The following is a 17,282-nucleotide window of genomic DNA, read 5'->3' on the forward strand; positions in this document are numbered from 1 at the left end:
GAGTGAGTTCTCGCTCTGAGTTCACACGAGATCTGGTTATTTAGAAGTGTGTGGCACCTCCCCCAACTCTTGTTCCCACGCTCACCACGTGGCGCCTGCTCCCTGTCACCTTAAAGCGTTATTGGAAGCTCCCTGAGGCCCTCACCAGAAGCAGATGCCGGAGCCAGGCTGGCGTAGCCTGCAGAACCATAAGCCAATTAAACCTCTTATCTTTATAAATTACCCAGCCTCAGGTTATTTCTTTATGGTGACACAAAAATGGCTGAACACAGGCGACCTAAAGTTTGTTGTGAATAATGCCATACTGAGAATTATTAGGTTGGTGCAAAAGCAATTGTGGTTTTTGCCATTAAAAGTAATGTAAAAAGGGTGGGGCACAGTGGCTCACGCCTGTAATCCCAGCACTTTGGGAGGCTGAGGGGGGGTGGATCACCTGAGGTCAGGAGTTTGAGACCAGCCTGGCCAACGTGGAGAAACCCTGTCTCTACTAAAAATACAAAAAATTAGCCAGGCATGGTGGCGCGCACCTGTAATCCCAGCTACTCAGGAGGCTGAGGCAGGAGAATCACTTGAACCTAGGGGGCGGAGGATGCAATGGGCCAATATCATGACACTGCACTCCAGCCCGGGCGACAAGAGCGAAACTCCATTTCAAAAAAAAAGTAATGTAAAAAGTAATAAAAATAACACTTTTAAGTCAACCTTACTCAGATTCATAAAGCTGGGAATAATATTAAAGCTTATTTAAATTCCACTCCTTAATTTTATAGACAAGGCCTCTAAGGCCCAGGAAGACTGAGCCTATTTTGTGCAAGGTCACTAAACAAATCATTGTGTCCAGGCATAGAACCCACATTGTTCTATCTCTTCATTGGTAAAGTATGCCTGACAATAATTTTACACAGGAATAATATTTAAAATGTTTATTTCATAAGCACTGTTATTTGCTGCTATGGAACCTTCTGTAAATCCATGGTTCTATTTTTGCTTTCCATGTAAACATACCCTTATTTTGTATGTAAAGATGAGCTTAGAGTTGGGCTGGAAAGCCAGACTTCCTTCCAGACAGCAGGAGGAAATGGGAACAGGCATCCTCTATTTCAAATCTCTACTTCTGTTTCGACAGGTAATAATGTTGCCAGATGCCAGGGGTTCGGGCCAGGTCCAGTTGTCACTGTAGAGAAAGCCAATCACTGAGATGATGAGTATTGCTGGGGAAGAAAGGCTTTAATGCAGGTGACATCAGCTGGGACATGGGAGACCAGTCTCAAATCTATCTCCCTAACTATCTAAAGTTAGGGGTTTATATAGCAGGGGGTTAGAGAGAGGTAAAGAAGAGGAATTGGTCAACAGGCAGCAGGTGCATCTCATGACTGGATGCCATCATCTGAAAAGTTTCAGTTCCCTGATACTATCTGGGAGCCCTGATGGTTGGTTTCCCGAGAAAGAAACTCAGACAAAACAAATATAAGTTCCTCAGGCTTCAGTTCTATGGGAAAATCAAGCCAGGTTCAGCAACTCTGTAGGTAGAGAAATCAGCAATGGTGAATTATGATAAGAGCAAACATGGTGAGATGTAGAATGTTCTCAATTAACCCATTAATTTCTCTTAAATTTTTTGGAAACACATGCTGCTGACCAGGAAAGGTAGAGAACTTTGATTAGTTTTCCTTACATAACAACGTATTTTTCCTGTGCAACAAGCTTAGAATCCCAGGATAATTTTTGAAAGTTTAGCAGTTATGTTTTAAGAGAAAAAGAGTTCAAATGTTCAATTTCAAGGCAATATGCCAAAAGGTTGCAAACATGTAGCAAACATGCCAAAAGGTTGTATAAGGGAATTCTGCCTCCTCTGATGAAAGAAGATTCTTAGAACCACCTGGAGGCTGTTTTAAATTATACATACACCCATCACCGTGGGGCTGACCATTCCATAATAGATTCTATTTTATCCCAGTGGGGAAGGGTGCCATCCCAAAAGCCACCACAAGGGGGCACCCTCCGGGACATCGCGGCTCTCTCGGGGCAGGAGCTGTCTCTTTCTCAACCCTGCCAGCCCCAGAGCCCCACCTGCTTTTTTTTTTTTTTTTTTTACAAATGCCATTTAATTTCTTTTTTTTTTTTGCTAGAACAGTTTTGCTTTTATTAAACTATTTAATAAGACATATTTTAAAAGTAAATCAAATTTGGCTATAAATACTTTATATTTAAAAATTAAAATTCTTGAATTATACCCTGTATTTTGCCTTTTTTTCTCATGTAACTATTTTAATGAGGTATCATTCACGTACCATAAAATTTAACTTTTTAAAAGATACAATTCAGTGTGTCTTAGTATATTCACAAAGTTATACAACTATCATCATTATGTAATTCCAGAACACTTTTCTCACCCCAAAAAGAAACCCTGTACCCATTAGCAGCAGTCACTCCCATTCCTCCTTCCCTCAGCCCTTGGCAACTACTAATCTACTTTCTGTCTTTATGGAATTGCTAATTCTGGACATTTTATACAAATGTAATCATGTACTATGTGGCCTTTTGTGGCTGGTTTCTTTCATTTAGTATAGTTTTCAAGGTCCATCCATATTGGATCATGTATCAGTACTTCATTGCTTTTTGTGGCTGGATAATATTTCATTTATTAATATACCACGTTTTGCTTATCCATTCATCTACTGATGGGCATGTGTATTGGAATACTACTATGAACATCTATGTACAAGTTTTTCTGTGTATATATCTTTTTTTTTTTTTTTTTGAGACGGAGTCTCGCTCCGTCGCCCAGGGTGGAGTGCAGTGGCGCAATCCCGGCTCACTGCAAGCTCCGCCCGCCAGGTTCACGCCATTCTCCTGCCTCAGCCTCCCAAGTAGCTGGGACCACAGGCGCCCCCCACCACGCCCGGCTAATTTTTCGTACTCTTAGTAGAGACGGGGTTCCACCGTATCAGCCAGGACGGCCTCGATCTTCTGACCCCGCGATCCACCCGCCTCGGCCTCCCAAAGTGCTGGGACCACAGGCCTGAGCCACCGCGCCCGGCCTGTATATATCTTTTTAATTGTCTTGGGTATACACCTAAGAGTAGAATTGCTGTGTCATATGGTAAATCTCTGAGGAATAGCCAACTTTCCAAAGTGTCTGCACCATTTTACATTCCCATCCACAGTGTATGAGGGTTCTAATTTTTCCACATACTTGCCAACATTTGTTATTGTTCATCTTTTTTTATTTTAGCCATCCTAATGGGTGTGACTTCTATTTGCATTTCTCTAATGACCAATGAAGTTGAGTACATTTTCATATGCTCATTGGTGATTTATATATCTTCTTTGAAGAAATGTCTATTCAAATCCTTTGAACATTTTAAAATTGTGTTACTTGTCTTTTTATTGCTGAGTTGCAAGGGTTCTTTATATATTCTGGACACCAGTTTTGTAGCCATTTAATTTCTTGAAATGAGAATCACTACTTGTGGTTGTCACTCCCCTAACCGTATATTTTTAAAAACTGATATACTTCTCTAATGGTAATACAAAAAAGAAATAATAAGAAACCAACTTATAACAAAATAATATCTATTTCAATATATAAAGCTTAGGTACATATATACTACAAAATATATAATGAAGTAGTCAGATGCTCTACATAGAAGCAACTGCTAAAACACGGACAAATACAGGTGGGTTCTATTCATGACTCCAGTCCCTTGAGTGGCACTCCCTCAATGCAATGATCAAAGATAAAAAATGCATTGAAAATCTCCAAATAAAATGCAGTCTTTATTTTATTTTTATTTTCTTTGTGTTGTTTTGAAACAGACTCTCCCTTTCTCACCCAGTGCAGTGGTGCGATCTCGGCTCACTGCAACCTCCACCTCCTGGGTTCAAGTGATTCTCCTGCCTCACCCTCCCGAGTAGCTGGAATTACAGGCATGTGCCACCACATCCGGCTAATTTGTTGTATTTTCAGTAGAGATGGGGTTTCGCTATGTTAGGCAGGCTGGTCTCAAACTCCTGACCTCAAATGATCCACTGCCCTCGGCCTCCCAAAGTGCTGGGATTATAGGCGTGAGCCACTGTGCCCAGCCCAGTCTTGATTTCTACTGTGGTTTCATTCCTAAAAAAAAATTCAGTTGATGGTAAAACAACCCTAAAAACATACTGCTTTAGTATACATATATCAAAACAACACGGTGTACTCTGTCAATGTAATTATGATAATTATGATTTGTCAATTAATAGTTATATTAACTTTTAAAAAATATTTTAAAAACTTAAAAAATACTGCTTTATATGTAAAAGTATTGTGTTTATGTGTAAAACATGTACTTCTAGCCTTAGATAATGATAAACAGATTTTTTTACCCACGTGAATGTTTCAGAGGACTCTTACTTGGAAGTCCTGTAGCAGGAGAGATGACTCTTTTTTTTTTTCTTTTTCTGAGATGGAGTCTCACTCCATCACCCAGGCTGGAGTACAGTGGCGAGATCTCAGCTCACTGCAACCTCTGCCTCCTCGGTTCAAGCGACTCTCCCACCTCAGCCTCCCGAGTAGCTGGAATTACGGGCACATGCCACCATGACAGGCTAATTTTTGTATTTTTAGTAGAGACAGGGTTTCATCATGTTGGCCAGGCTGGTCTCAAACTCCTGGACTCAAGTGATCCACCACCTCAGCCACGCAAAGTGCTAGGATTACAAGTGTGAGTCACCTCATCCCGCCTAGGACGACCCTTCTCTGGGCACACTGCAAGATATCTAGCCCCCCTGACTATTCCCCTTCCCTCACTTAAATGCCAGTAGTGCCCTCCAATCCAGTTGTTATGACAAGAGAAAACACCCCAATATACGTCTAGAATGCTCCCTGTGGGTGCTTCCACCCCCATGAAGAACCACTGGTCAGGAGGGAAAGGGCCTCCTTACACCTTCACCTCTCTACTTCCTCTGGTTCTCATGTCACAGGGAGACTCCCCTGTTCTCCCAGCAGACTCTAGAGCACACCTTAGGTTGGGACTCTCTAGTTCAGATTTAAGTGAGCAAATATCCATCACCCAGCATCTCACATGCATAGAGGTGGGTCATCCCGCACAGTATTGGAAGGAGTTTTGAACAGAAATAGGAAGAACGCACATGACAAGCCATGTGACACTTGGACCTGTGTAGAAACACTAACACATGTGTCTGTGGTCTCAGCTACTTGGCAAGCTGAGGTGGGAGGATCACTGGAGCCCAGGATTTGGAGTCTGCAGTGAGCTATGATTGCACACTCTGCTCCAGCCTGGGTGACCAAGCAAAACCTTGTCTTTTTAAAAAAAAAAAAAAAAAAAAAAGAAGGAAGAGAGAAAAAAGAAACACTAACACAGTGTTTTTCAATGGGAAGTAAGATAATTACTTGCATCAAAAGTATTTGTTAAAAATACAGCCTTCCGGCCGGGCGTAGTGGCTCACACCTGTAATCCCAGCACTTTGGGACTCTGAGGCGTGCGGATCATTTGAGGTCAGGAGTTTGAGACCAGCCTGGCCAACATGGCGAAACCCTGTCTCTACTGAAAATACAAAAAATTAGCTGGGCGTGGTGGCGGATACCTGTAATCTCAGCTACTCAGGAGGCTGAGGCAGAAGAGTCGCTTGAGTCCAGGAGGCGGAGGTTGCAGTGAGCCAAGATCGTTCCACTGCACTTTAGCCTGGGCAACAGAACAAGATTCCACCTCAAAATAATAATAATAATAATAATAATAATAATAATAATAATAATACAGCTTTCTGGGCTCATATCTCTTAAATCAGATCCCTGGGGATGTGGCCAGATAATTTGCATTTTTAACAGTCTCACCAGGAGATTTTAATGACCTCAAGGTTTAAGAGCCTCTTAAGTTATTGTCATTGTCACCACCAATGCCATGCACAGCTGCCAATCTGGACATGAAGCCTTTTTCAGGTCCCATGTGGCATTTTGGCAATCACCCTTGCAAAGAGAGCTGGGAGGTCCCCACAGACCCCAGTGTTGGATGCAGACTCCAGCTTCAACCTTGGCGGGTGGTGGGGAGGCGGGGGGATCAGGCATTATTAGGTTGTCTCTTTTTAAGGTTAACTTTCTTGCAGTGCCCAAAAAGCCACTCACTCTGAAAAATTCCCTCTTCTTTCCATTCTTTTCAAAGAGTATGATTTCATGATTTCTCATGACTTCAACCAGGAATGCTTTCATATTTTAAATGTGCCTTTCTGTTAAAATAAGGGGAAAAACTGGAAGATACACATATGCCTGGGTTTGGACAATGTATTAAAGGTATAGAAATTCTGCATATAATTCTGCCTGGGAGTATAGAGTGAAGTATAGTCCTGAGTAAGTCACATTTTTTTTTTTGTCTATGAGTCAAACCAAGTAAAAAAAGAATTCATTTCTCTTTATATAACTGTATAGACACAGAATAGATTTCTAACTCTCTGAGTGAGAGTTTGGAATCTGAGTGAAAAATCTGGTTTGCTCATATTTTAAGAGTTTTGAAGATTATTTCACTGGTGTTAAATAATGATGATGATTCTGAAGATTATTTCACTGGTGTTAAATGATGATGATGACTTGATAACAATACCTTACCCAAGGCCACACAGACAGCAAATGACTTGGGCAGGATTTGAACCCAGATTTACCTGGTGTCAAAGCCTCAGGTCTTGTCACCATACCACACCGTTCTTGGACAAAGAGGTTGTGAACACAGCCACACAAACATTACTCATCACACCACTGCTGCACGCAGCTCCCTAGGACAGTATTTGGGCCTCTGCAGAGGAATGAGACGATGGGGCCCTGGGCCTTGTGCCAGCATTTACAATCCAGGGTTGCAATGCAGGGAATCAGCCACAGTGAAGCAACCCGGAGATCTGCAAGCACAGGAAGGCACCACCACCCTTGATACGAGGCAGTGGAGGACGAAAAGCTACCAGGAGGAGTAGTCCATCCAGTGATGGCTGGAACCTCAGAAATCCACTCCTCACAGAGACCCAGCCACTGCCAGAGAAGCCGCCTGCAGCAGAGAGAGTAAGAAATAACCTGGTTTCTTCCTTCTGGGTCCACTCCCATCTCCTGACGGCACCTCCACTGGCCAAACCCAATCAGCAAACCCAGCGGCCTGGAAACCCACACTTCCACTCACATCAGAGTAGCAGAGGGGCAAGACTGGATCTGAGGGCACGCAGATGAAAACAGGCACGCCCATGCTGGGTTTTGTTATTTCACAGAATAAGCACTCTATGGTTCCCTTAAATAGTAAATCCTCTATTACCTTTAGATTAATTTGATTTAACAGAAAAAGAATTTAAAATCAAGTATTTCCTTTCTTTGCTCCCTCCTTCCCTTCCTCCCTTCCCTTCCCTTCTTTCCCTCCCTCCCTCCCTGCCTCCTTCCCTCCCTTCCTTCCTTCCCATTTTTTTGAGACAGGGTTTCACTCCCATCACCCAGGCTGGAGTGCAGTGGCATGATCATGGCTCACTGCAACCTCCCCTCCTGGGCTTGAGGGAGCCTCCTGCCTCAGCCTCTCAAGTAGCTGGAACTACAGGTGTATGCCACCATGCCCAGCTTATTTTTGTATTTTTGTGTTTTTTTGGTAGAGACAGGATTTTGCCATGTTGCCCAGGCTGATCTCCAACTCCTGAGCTCAAGCTATCTGCCCACCTTGGCCTCCCAAAATGCTGGGATTACAGGCGTGAGCCACCACGCCTGGACCACTTTTTCTTTTTCTTTTCTTTTCTTTTTTTTTTTGAGTGACTTTAAAAAACATCTATTATGCAATCAGATATCTCTTTATACCTGTAACTCACTGAATACTGGAAAACAAAGAAGGCATTATTGGCTGGGCTGGGTGGTGCATGCCTGTAGTCCCAGCTACTTGGGAGGCTGAGGTGGGAAGATGGCTTAAGCCCAGGAAGTTTGACTTCAGTCTGGGCAACATAGCAAGACCCCATCTCTTAAAAAAAAAAAGGAAGAAAAAAGAAAAAAAAAGAGAAAGCATTGATTGAATACTTCCTTACAAAGGGCTAGTAGTCTCATTTGCCAGGCTAATAATAAGTAGTAAGGAGGATGAATTTTATCTGACTTATTACCTGAAAGAAAGAGAAGCTGGCTGCAAATCCTATAGTCATCAAGCTACTGTCTTTAGAAGACTAGCGTATTGAAACTTTTTTGGGGGGCCCTTTCTTTGAGTGTATATGGTATGAGAAGCTGGCAAGCTTGTGCTGAGAGTCCTGGCCATAATTCTTCGGAAATGTGAGGGTGTGGGAGGCTTCAGAGCCTCTGGAGGAAGTTCTAGGCAGAGGTCAGTTGTGCTCTGGCCCGACCGCGGGCCCCCTCCCACGGAAGGGCAGAGCTAGAGGGCCCTCTGGGGACAGCAGGCCCGGCGCGAGCGGTGGCCAACACCTCTCAAGCCTTTCGAGGTGTGCCGTCATCCACGCCCACCGTGGAGCCAACAGTGTCCTTCTCCCAACGCTGGAGAAACGGCTAGGGCATTAGCCTCAAAGGAGATTAAGGAATTGGATTTCGTAGAGATTGGATTTCGTGCGTGCTGTCTCCCATTCAGAGGCATTCCCAGAAAAACGACTCACAAAGACCACAACAGCAGCAGAGCAGGCGAGGTCTCAGTGCCCCCAGAGCTCAGCCAGGGCGAGGCAGGACGACTTCGGGGCAGGGCTCTCCTGACGTAGGGATTACAACAAAAGGGTTCATCCTGCATTTTTTGAAGGAGATGGCTAAGTAGGGTAAATCTGTGGTTAAGATCACAGACTTTGGAGTCGATTTTTTCCTCCTATTTTTGCGAGTCGGCCCCCTCTTCTCTGTCCCTGCTCCCAAGGCCCCCTCACCGCGCATACTGCCACAGCCGCTCGCAGCTCCCGTGGCCCACCTCCCTCTCCTCCAGGTTGCTGCCCCCGGGGTCTTTTTGAGCACATCAGATCATCTTGCTCAGAATACCCCGTGGCTACCGCCTCTAGGATAATGCCCAACGGCCTTGGTAGGATATTTGGTGCCACACACCCTCCAGTCTCCCCTCTAATCCCTAACCTACCTGCCTCCCCGCCCAGGGGCCCTGCTCTCTGCAGGCTCTACTGTGTCCTGGGCCCTCAGCTGAGAGACCAACCCGTCCTTCCAGGAAAATGCGAGCCTCACCAGGCAGGGTTATGCTCCCGCCCTCCTCCTTGTAATTATTACCTGACCCTCTGCCTCCTGCAACGCCAGGGCTGGAGGACAGGCTGGCCCCTATTCCTATGGGCACTGGCCAACATCCAACGCCTGGGACATAAACTGCACCCAATGGTATGTGAACTGTACTTTACAGTTTGCACGGTGTGTTCTGGTATTTGCTAAATCTTCACACATGCTCAGGTGGCAGTACGTTTTAATGATACAGGCGAGGGAACTGGGGCTCAGAAAGGTCTAGTGCCTTGCGCATGGGAGACTCAAGTGGTAGAACCGGTGGCCGGGCTCCGGGCTCTGAGCGGAAAGCCTGCAGGACTCGGAATCCTGAAGACCTGGGTTTAAACCCGCTCAGCTAGGGACTGGGTGAGGCATCGCAGGCAAGTGACTTCACCTCCCAGCGCCGGTGCCCTAGTCTTCACCGAAGACAGCAATTCCAATCTGGGACTGTGGTGAGGCTTAAATAAAACACTGCTCAGTAAGTGGCCAGCAGGCCTGGCTCGCAGCCGGAACTATAAATGTGAGTTCCCTTTCTGACCCCCAGGTTTGGCGAGGGCTCCTCCTGTTTGGGCAGCAGCTCCTCCTGAGCTCCCGAGGCCACGGGGGTGCCAACTGTGGAGCGCCCGCCGTGCCGTTTAGACGCGAGAGCTGCGTCGGGTACCAGCGATCCTTAAAGGAGCTCGGGGACCAGGGGCACAGCTTGGAGAGGACAGCGAGGGAGGTGACTGGCCTCGGGGAGGCGGGCGGTGGATGGAGAGGCATGAGAGGGGTGTTGTCAGCCGCGGCACACGCCTTCCCCAAGTGGCCGGCGCCGCCCCTTGCCACCACTTCACCTCCGCCTCTTCCCTTCCTCCCTAGCTCCTGGCAGCGTCTCTAGGGCCTCAAAAAGCAAGGAGGGTCCCCGGGCAGCGAGGCCCCATGGATCCAGCCTGCGCCTGCTCCCAAGGGCGCGCAGGTCCCGCCCCTGCCGGGCGCCCGCCCCCCGGGGAGCGCAAGCCCCCGCCCCTTCCCTCGCCCCTCCCCTGCACGGCGCCGGCTGGCTGGAGGCGGGGCATGCGCACGGGCCTGGGCGAGGGCGCTGGGCGGCGGGGAGGTGGGGCGCGCGCGTGCGGCTTCTCTCAGCCGGGAGCGGCGGGGGCGGGCACGGGCAGCAGCGGGCCGGCGGTGGGCGGGGAGCGGGACGCGGGAGCCGGGCGCGCGCCGCCAGCGCCGCCGCGGCACCGGTGACCGCGAGCCCGGAGCGCGAGGTCCGGGGATGCGAGCGGCCGGGAGCCGCCGCGCTGCTGAGCCGGGAGAACTCGATCCGCGGTGACCTCAGCGAGGGGCGAGCGCGGCGGCGGCGAGCCCCGCGGGAATCCTCGGGGCCGGGGTGCGGGGGGCGGGGACGGCGGGAGCGCGGGGCGCAGCCCGGGCGGGGCTGGGACAGTGATGAGAGAGCGCGCGGGGAGGCTGCACGCCGCCGCCGCCGCCGCCGCCGCCGTCGTCGTCCGGAGCATCTGCTGCCTGAGCTGCTGCCGGCGGACCCGGCCATGGAGACACTGAACGGCCCCGCGGGCGGAGGTGCCCCGGACGCGAAGCTGCAGCCGCCCGGCCAGCACCACCGCCACCACCACCTCCACCCGGTGGCCGAAAGGCGGCGGCTGCACCGTGCGCCCTCGCCCGCCAGACCCTTCCTCAAGGACCTGCACGCCCGGCCCGCCGCGCCCGGCCCGGCCGTCCCCTCCTCGGGCCGAGCCCCGGCTCCCGCCGCCCCGCGCTCGCCCAACCTCGCGGGCAAAGCGCCGCCCTCGCCGGGGTCCCTGGCCGCGCCCGGCCGCCTCTCTCGGCGCAGTGGCGGCGTCCCGGGCGCGAAGGACAAGCCCCCGCCGGGCGCCGGGGCCAGAGCGGCGGGCGGTGCCAAGGCTGCCCTGGGAAGCAGGAGGGCGGCGCGCGTGGCGCCCGCGGAGCCGCTGTCCCGGGCTGGGAAGCCTCCCGGAGCCGAGCCGCCGTCTGCCGCTGCCAAGGGCCGCAAAGCCAAGCGCGGCTCCCGGGCGCCACCCGCCCGCACCGTCGGCCCCCCGACCCCGGCCGCCCGGATCCCTGCCGTGACCCTCGCGGTGACCTCGGTGGCCGGGTCCCCGGCCCGCTGCTCGCGCATCAGCCACACGGACAGCAGCTCCGACCTCTCTGACTGCCCCTCCGAACCCCTGTCCGACGAGCAGCGCCTGCTCCCTGCCGCCAGCAGCGACGCCGAATCCGGCACGGGCTCCAGCGACCGTGAACCCCCACGAGGAGCGCCGACGCCGAGCCCCGCAGCCCGAGGAGCGCCGCCGGGCAGCCCCGAGCCCCCAGCGCTCCTCGCCGCGCCCCTCGCCGCGGGCGCCTGTCCCGGGGGCCGGAGCATCCCGAGCGGGGTTTCGGGGGGTTTCGCGGGGCCCGGCGTGGCGGAGGATGTCCGGGGGCGCTCGCCACCGGAGCGACCAGTCCCCGGGACCCCCAAGGAGCCCAGCCTGGGCGAGCAGTCTCGGCTCGTGCCAGCGGCGGAGGAAGAAGAGCTGCTGCGGGAGATGGAGGAGCTGCGCTCGGAGAACGACTATCTCAAGGTGAGCCGCGCCTCGGCCGCAGGTGTCCCGGGGCGCCCCCGGAGGGCCTGGCTGCGGCGGGGACCCGCCAACCCCTCCTTCCCGGGCCTGTCCAGCGCCTTCTCCCTCCTGCTCTCCACGGTCCTACCCCCGCATTGTCAGGCATTGGCAACTTAAGCCCAAACTTCTGGAAGGAGAAGCAAGACCTGTGGGACCCCGCCAGTTCGCAACCCACTTCTCTTTTCTCGCGTCTAGAACTCTTGCGTCTCTTCGCTGATACTTTTACTTTTGTTGACCTGTTGGGGCAGAGGAGGCTGTAATCGTTTTGGGGACATCAGCGGACGCCCCCATCCCCGCTCAGAACGTGCCAGCCTCACCTGTAGGAACAGGTGATCCTTCGCCAGGGAGCTCTAGCCGGGCCACGTGCGGGCGTGGCGGTTCAGGATAATGCCACTGGAGGGCCCCCGGCTACGGACCCGCTTGCCCCTTCTCCTGCAATTACGGAAAGAGCTGGGGGCTCTCAGGGTCTCCTGGGCTCCGACATCCCGGGTAGAGGGGGCCGCGCCGTTTTCGGTGAGCAAGCTGAAGCTCAGTAGAGGTCCTTGGAGTGTGGCCCGGGTTGAGGAGCAACGGTGTTGCGCGGGCCAGTCCTTTGTAAGCATCCAGGAGCCGGCTTTCTGTGTCAGGAGAGGCCACGCCAGCACTTTCTAAGGAATCGCGGCGCCTGCTGCACTCTCTGAGTATTTTCCGGCAGGGCCTGCGGGCAGTGGCGTCTTAGTCGCCTTAGCACTGGGTGCTTAATCCGGCTCCATCTTTTCTCCACGGAGGGGGCCTGGTGCTGCAGACGGGGTTCCCGGGGTCAGGACGATCCAGGTGACTTGAGAGAAAATAAGGGGAGTTGTATTGACACCAACTGTTTTATTTATTGTGATCTTCAGGTTAGTAAACAACTCCAGTGGCATCAATCTGTGTATCTGTTAAGTCTTAATGAGCAGCCAACCAAACCCAGGGGTGTGGCCCTGCTTCTTCAGTGGGTTATGTGATTTGAGCTGTTTTCTCAGCAAATGATGAGCTAACCAATACGGGCCCAGTTTTTGGCTAGTGAGATTGAGGATTGGGCTTTAAGGTGCATGGTGGTGAAGTCTGCAGTTCACACGGAAATCAGAGCACATTAACTGCTGGGTGATCTCAAGCCTAAATTTCTTATGGAGCTGCTCCAACCAACTGAGCCTTGTGGTTATTTTACTTTGTGCAAGAAGTAACAGTGAGGCAGAGAAAGAGAGGTGATAAAAGAAAGATTGGGACTTAAAGCAAGATATTTCAGATAGTATGTTTGTTTTTGTCACTTACTCTTAGGTAATAGACAACGGAGTGAAGTTCAAAGGCAACTATGTTGTGGGTGACTCCATCATGAAAGCAGCTCTTTTGTAAATCTTCAACAAATGTAAGCTCCCTGAGGGTGACCAAGATAATCTTGTTGTTTTTGTATCCCTGGCTCTTAGCATAACCCCTGACTTACTTTCTGATTGAATGATGTTTATCCAAATGACTGCTGTGCAAGGGAAAACTGTATTTCTTTAAAGAAGTTTCTCATTGCATCTTTGATCTTAAGGTAGGCTATCCATCATTTTGAAGTTCATTCTTGGTGCAACTGGTTATTTCCTTTATTTTTTCCCAATGAATGAAATGTGTCTGAGCCTGGAGTCTGATACAGTGTATTTGCTATTTCACTGGATCTTCCCAACAACATAGGGTGGTGGTGGTGGTATCATGATCATAACTAGTATTTCACAGACGGAGATGCTGAGAACCTAAAACAGAAATGACTTGGCCAAGGTCATAGAGTGAGTAAGAGGTGGCACCTGCGTTTCCCCAGAGCCTCTGCCCATTTTACTGCACCGGGATGCAGCCCTATTTCCAGCGAGGCTGCTTTCCTCCGAGCACACTGCTTCTGAGTTGTTTTCGTAGCTCAAAATGTTCCTTGTGGTGAGCTTTTCTAGGGGCCCTCTGTTTTCTTTTCAGGTGAGAGGGCCGTCATGCCCGTCTCTCCACTAGCCTGTGTACGAATGGTCACATAAATCCCACTGCCAGTGTTTCAGTTGTGGGGACTGTTCAGTTGCCATTTACTGTGGAGAAGGTGTCACTTGCATCCGTTTACTCTGCCTGAGGCCACCTCCCCACTGTTCCTCCGACAGCAGGGGAGAGAAGAGGGTTGTGAAGGAGGCTAGCAAACCAGATGATTGCGTGTATGCATGTGAGGTACTCATTTGGCCACTCAGAAGCTTAAATGACAATAGTTCAATTCGGGAAGGAAACGCAGGGATCCTAATGGACTTTTCTACAGGTCGTGGAGCCTGCCCACATGTGCAAAATTGGGCCCAGAGCTTCAGGGACCCCCTGTGGCAGAGGCAGTAGTCATGCCTTTGCAGTGGTGGTTAGCGTGTGCCCTTTATAAATCAAAACTTCTCTTTTTGTTATTTTCAGGGGTATTTTTTCCGTTTTTTGTGGTTTTTTTTTGAAGGGATGGTCTTGCTCCGTGGCCCAGGCTGGAGTGCAGTGGCATGATCATAGCTCACTACAACCTTGAACCCGTGGGCTCAAGTGATCTTCCTGCCTCATCCTGATAAGTAGCTGGGACCACAGGAACACACCACCAAGCTGGGCTAATTTTTAAATTTTTTTATAGAGACAGGGTCTGGCTATGTTGTCCAGGCTTGTCTTGAACTCCTGGCTTCAAGTGATCCTCCCTCCTTGCCCTCCCAAAGTGCTAGGATTACAAGTTTGAGCCTCTGTGCCTCGTGGGGTACTTTTTAAAGAGGGTAGATAAAAGTACGTCCTTGACCTGCTGCTTTGTTAGGGAGCACTGCACAGAACTAACTCTCAGGATTAGGTATAGCATTCATCTATTCCAATGTATCTGATAAGAGGCTCGGCCCACAAATTTTACGTTGCTATATTCTGGAGCATTCCAAGTAAGTGCTGTCATCATTGTTGTACAAGACTGTGACAGTTTCTGAACTAGAATGACCAAAGCCCAATTCAATAGAAAAATAAGTCCAGCAAAACCTTAGGAGGATATTCTTCGGATCAGGACATTTAAGTGGAATTATCTTGGCTTTTAGCCAGGCTGCTGTATTTTTTATTTTATTTTTATTTATTTTTTTTGAGACGGAGTCTTGCTTTGTCGTGCAGGCTGGAATGCAGTGGCGTGATCTCGGCTCACTGCACCCTCCGCCTCCCAGATTCAAGCAGTTCTCCTGCCTCAGCCTCCGGAGTAGCTGGGATTACAAGTGCCCGCCACCACGCCCAGCTAGTTTTTGAATTTTTAGTAGAGACAGGGTTTCACCATGTTGGCCAGGCTGGTCTTGAACTCCTGACTTCAGGTGATCTGCCCGCCTCGGCTTCCCAAAGTGCTGGGATTACAGGCATGAGCCACCGCGCCCGGCCTGGCCTGTATTTTTTTAAATAGTCAGTGTCAACAGAGAAGCGGACACCTTGTGTTGTGCTGTAACAGAGCAAATTTGGTCGTCCCTGACTCTGCTTTCTGTTCCTTCTCCACCTTCATCAAATGGTGCCTGGGTGACTAGGTGAAAAATGCAAAATCAATCCAGGTAGCTGGCTTTTGTGTGAAAACACAGACAGAAAAGCACTCTTGTTGTCCTTTGACCTCTGATAAACTCAAATACATTTGGAAGTATTCAGAAATTCAGGTGAGCACTTCAGTTATCCAAAGGCCTGGGCTTCTCATAAAACCCAGGCACTTTCTTTTTTTTTTTTTTTTTTTTTCTCTTTAATTATGGTAAATATTTAATGTTTCCTTATAAAATAATTACAGCCTTAATAGAAACAAAACTGTTGAAAGTGTACCTGGATGACAATAATGGTTAAATATACACTTTAATAATTTAAAGTGATGAGTTTTTTTTTTTCACAAAAGTTTAAGGTGGTAATGAAATCATTGGAATCCCTTTTACCAAAGTGAATTTTAAAAATTACATTTTCCCTCTTGCAATCATGTTTGTAGCATAAAGGAGCAATAAATGGGGGCAGGGAGTAAAGCTTGGGAACTAGTCTATGTTAGGCTTGAGTAGTCTAGGGCAATGTCTGATAAAGGAGGGGTTTGAATTTTGGTATGGAAGGCTTTCTTTTTTTTTTTTTTTTTTTTAATCTGTTTTCTTTTTTCTTTTTTTTTTTACTTTTTTTTTTTTTATTATACTTTAAGTTTTAGGGTACATGTGCACATTGTGCAGGTTAGTTACATATGTATACATGTGCCATGCTGGTGTGCTGCACCCACTAACTCGTCATCTAGCATTAGGTATATCTCCCAATGCTATCCCTCCCCACTCCCCCTACTCCTCGACAGTCCCCAGAGTGTGATATTCCCCTTCCTGTGTCCATGTGATCTCATTGTTCAATTCCCACCTATGAGTGAGAATATGCGGTGTTTGGTTTTTTGTTCTTGTGATAGTTTACTGAGAATGATGATTTCCAGTTTCATCCATGTCCCTACAAAGGACATGAACTCATCATTTTTTATGGCTGCATAGTATTCCATGGTGTATATGTGCCACATTTTCTTAATCCAGTCTATCATTGTTGGACATTTGGGTTGGTTCCAAGTCTTTGCTATTGTGAATAATGCCGCAATAAACATACGTGTGCATGTGTCTTTATAGCAGCATGATTTCTAGTCCTTTGGGTATATACCCAGTAATGGGATGGCTGGGTCAAATGGTATTTCTAGTTCTAGATCCCTGAGGAATCGCCACACTGACTTCCACAATGGTTGAACTAGTTTACAGTCCCACCAACAGTGTAAAAGTGTTCCTATTTCTCCACATCCTCTCCAGCACCTGTTGTTTCCTGACTTTTTAATGATTGCCATTCTAACTGATGTGAGATGATATCTCATAGTGGTTTTGATTTGCATTTCTCTGATGGCCAGTGATGGTGAGCATTTTTTCATGTGTTTTTTGGCTGCATAAATGTCTTCTTTTGAGAAGTGTCTGTTCATGTCCTTCGCCCACTTTTTGATGGGGTTGTTTGTTTTTTTCTTGTAAATTTGTTTGAGTTCATTGTAGATTCTGGATATTAGCCCTTTGTCAGATGAGTAGGTTGCAAAAATTTTCTCCCATGTTGTAGGTTGAACCCAGGCACTTTCTTAATGCTGAGGACTTTGGTAAAGCGCTGGTGTGTTCCTTCCCTGCCAGGCTGCCAAGACTGTGTTTTGCTCGAGTGCTCGGAGACAGTCAGACAAGCCGGAGTGCTCGTTGTCAACATATTAATTATGTTCTCTGTTTCCACAGGCTTTTCAGGAGGATTTAATCAGTTGGCATTTATGAGCCTATTTTGAAAATGCTTTTAGCAGCCATAACCCCACACCTCCCCCACCCCCAAATAGTGTCCTCTTGCCATGCTGACCTCCTGCAGGGTGGGTGAGGATTGGGGTGGGAAGAGCTGTTTCTTTTTGCTTTGCTTTGCTTTCTCAGTTATTTCATAGGAAATATTTTTCTGTTAAAAGAAAACAAGTTGGT

At 49.0% G+C, this 17,282-nt stretch overlaps 1 protein-coding gene and 1 long non-coding RNA gene across 28 annotated transcripts in view, besides 3 other annotated features; one reads left to right on the plus strand and one right to left on the minus strand.

Annotated features, from left to right (window-relative positions):
- Positions 1-908: 908 nt before the first annotated feature.
- GACAT2 (gastric cancer associated transcript 2) lies at positions 909-12,674 on the minus strand. Its single transcript, NR_120598.1, has 2 exons — positions 12,123-12,674; positions 909-1,174 (listed from the first exon to the last, which is right to left on the minus strand). It is a non-coding gene; the product is annotated as a gastric cancer associated transcript 2 (long non-coding RNA).
- Positions 9,954-10,393: a silencer, noted in NCBI's record as "silent region_9273". NCBI's record gives its function as "represses an Ori minimal core promoter by ATAC-STARR-seq in GM12878 lymphoblastoid cells {active_cell/tissue: GM12878}" and the evidence as "EXISTENCE:reporter gene assay evidence [ECO:0000049][PMID:35858748]".
- Positions 10,609-17,282, plus strand: part of MTCL1 (microtubule crosslinking factor 1) — a 127,223-nt gene continuing 120,549 nt past the window's right edge. For 24 of the 27 annotated variants that reach the window (XR_002958167.2, XR_007066128.1, XM_024451115.2 and 21 more), the window contains exon 1: positions 10,609-11,766. Coding sequence is in view for 23 of the 27 variants with exons in the window: in XM_024451115.2 (XP_024306883.2) it covers positions 10,714-11,766 (1,053 nt within the window). In the remaining 4 variants the exon portion in view is untranslated. Of the gene's footprint in view, positions 11,767-11,810; positions 12,319-12,341; positions 13,190-17,282 lie in introns of those variants that run through there. The other 3 variants (XM_017025671.3, XM_017025674.3, NM_001395220.1) reach the window with 3 other exon arrangements.
- Positions 10,774-10,833: a silencer, noted in NCBI's record as "silent region_9274". NCBI's record gives its function as "represses an Ori minimal core promoter by ATAC-STARR-seq in GM12878 lymphoblastoid cells {active_cell/tissue: GM12878}" and the evidence as "EXISTENCE:reporter gene assay evidence [ECO:0000049][PMID:35858748]".
- Positions 13,685-14,186: an enhancer, noted in NCBI's record as "NANOG hESC enhancer chr18:8708630-8709131 (GRCh37/hg19 assembly coordinates)". NCBI's record gives its function as "activates a minimal SCP1, AML or CMV promoter by ChIP-STARR-seq in primed H9 embryonic stem cells {active_cell/tissue: H9 hESC(primed)}" and the evidence as "EXISTENCE:reporter gene assay evidence [ECO:0000049][PMID:30033119]".

This window comes from Homo sapiens, chromosome 18, assembly GCF_000001405.40.
Source record: "Homo sapiens chromosome 18, GRCh38.p14 Primary Assembly".
Taxonomy (NCBI): Eukaryota; Metazoa; Chordata; class Mammalia; order Primates; family Hominidae; genus Homo; species Homo sapiens.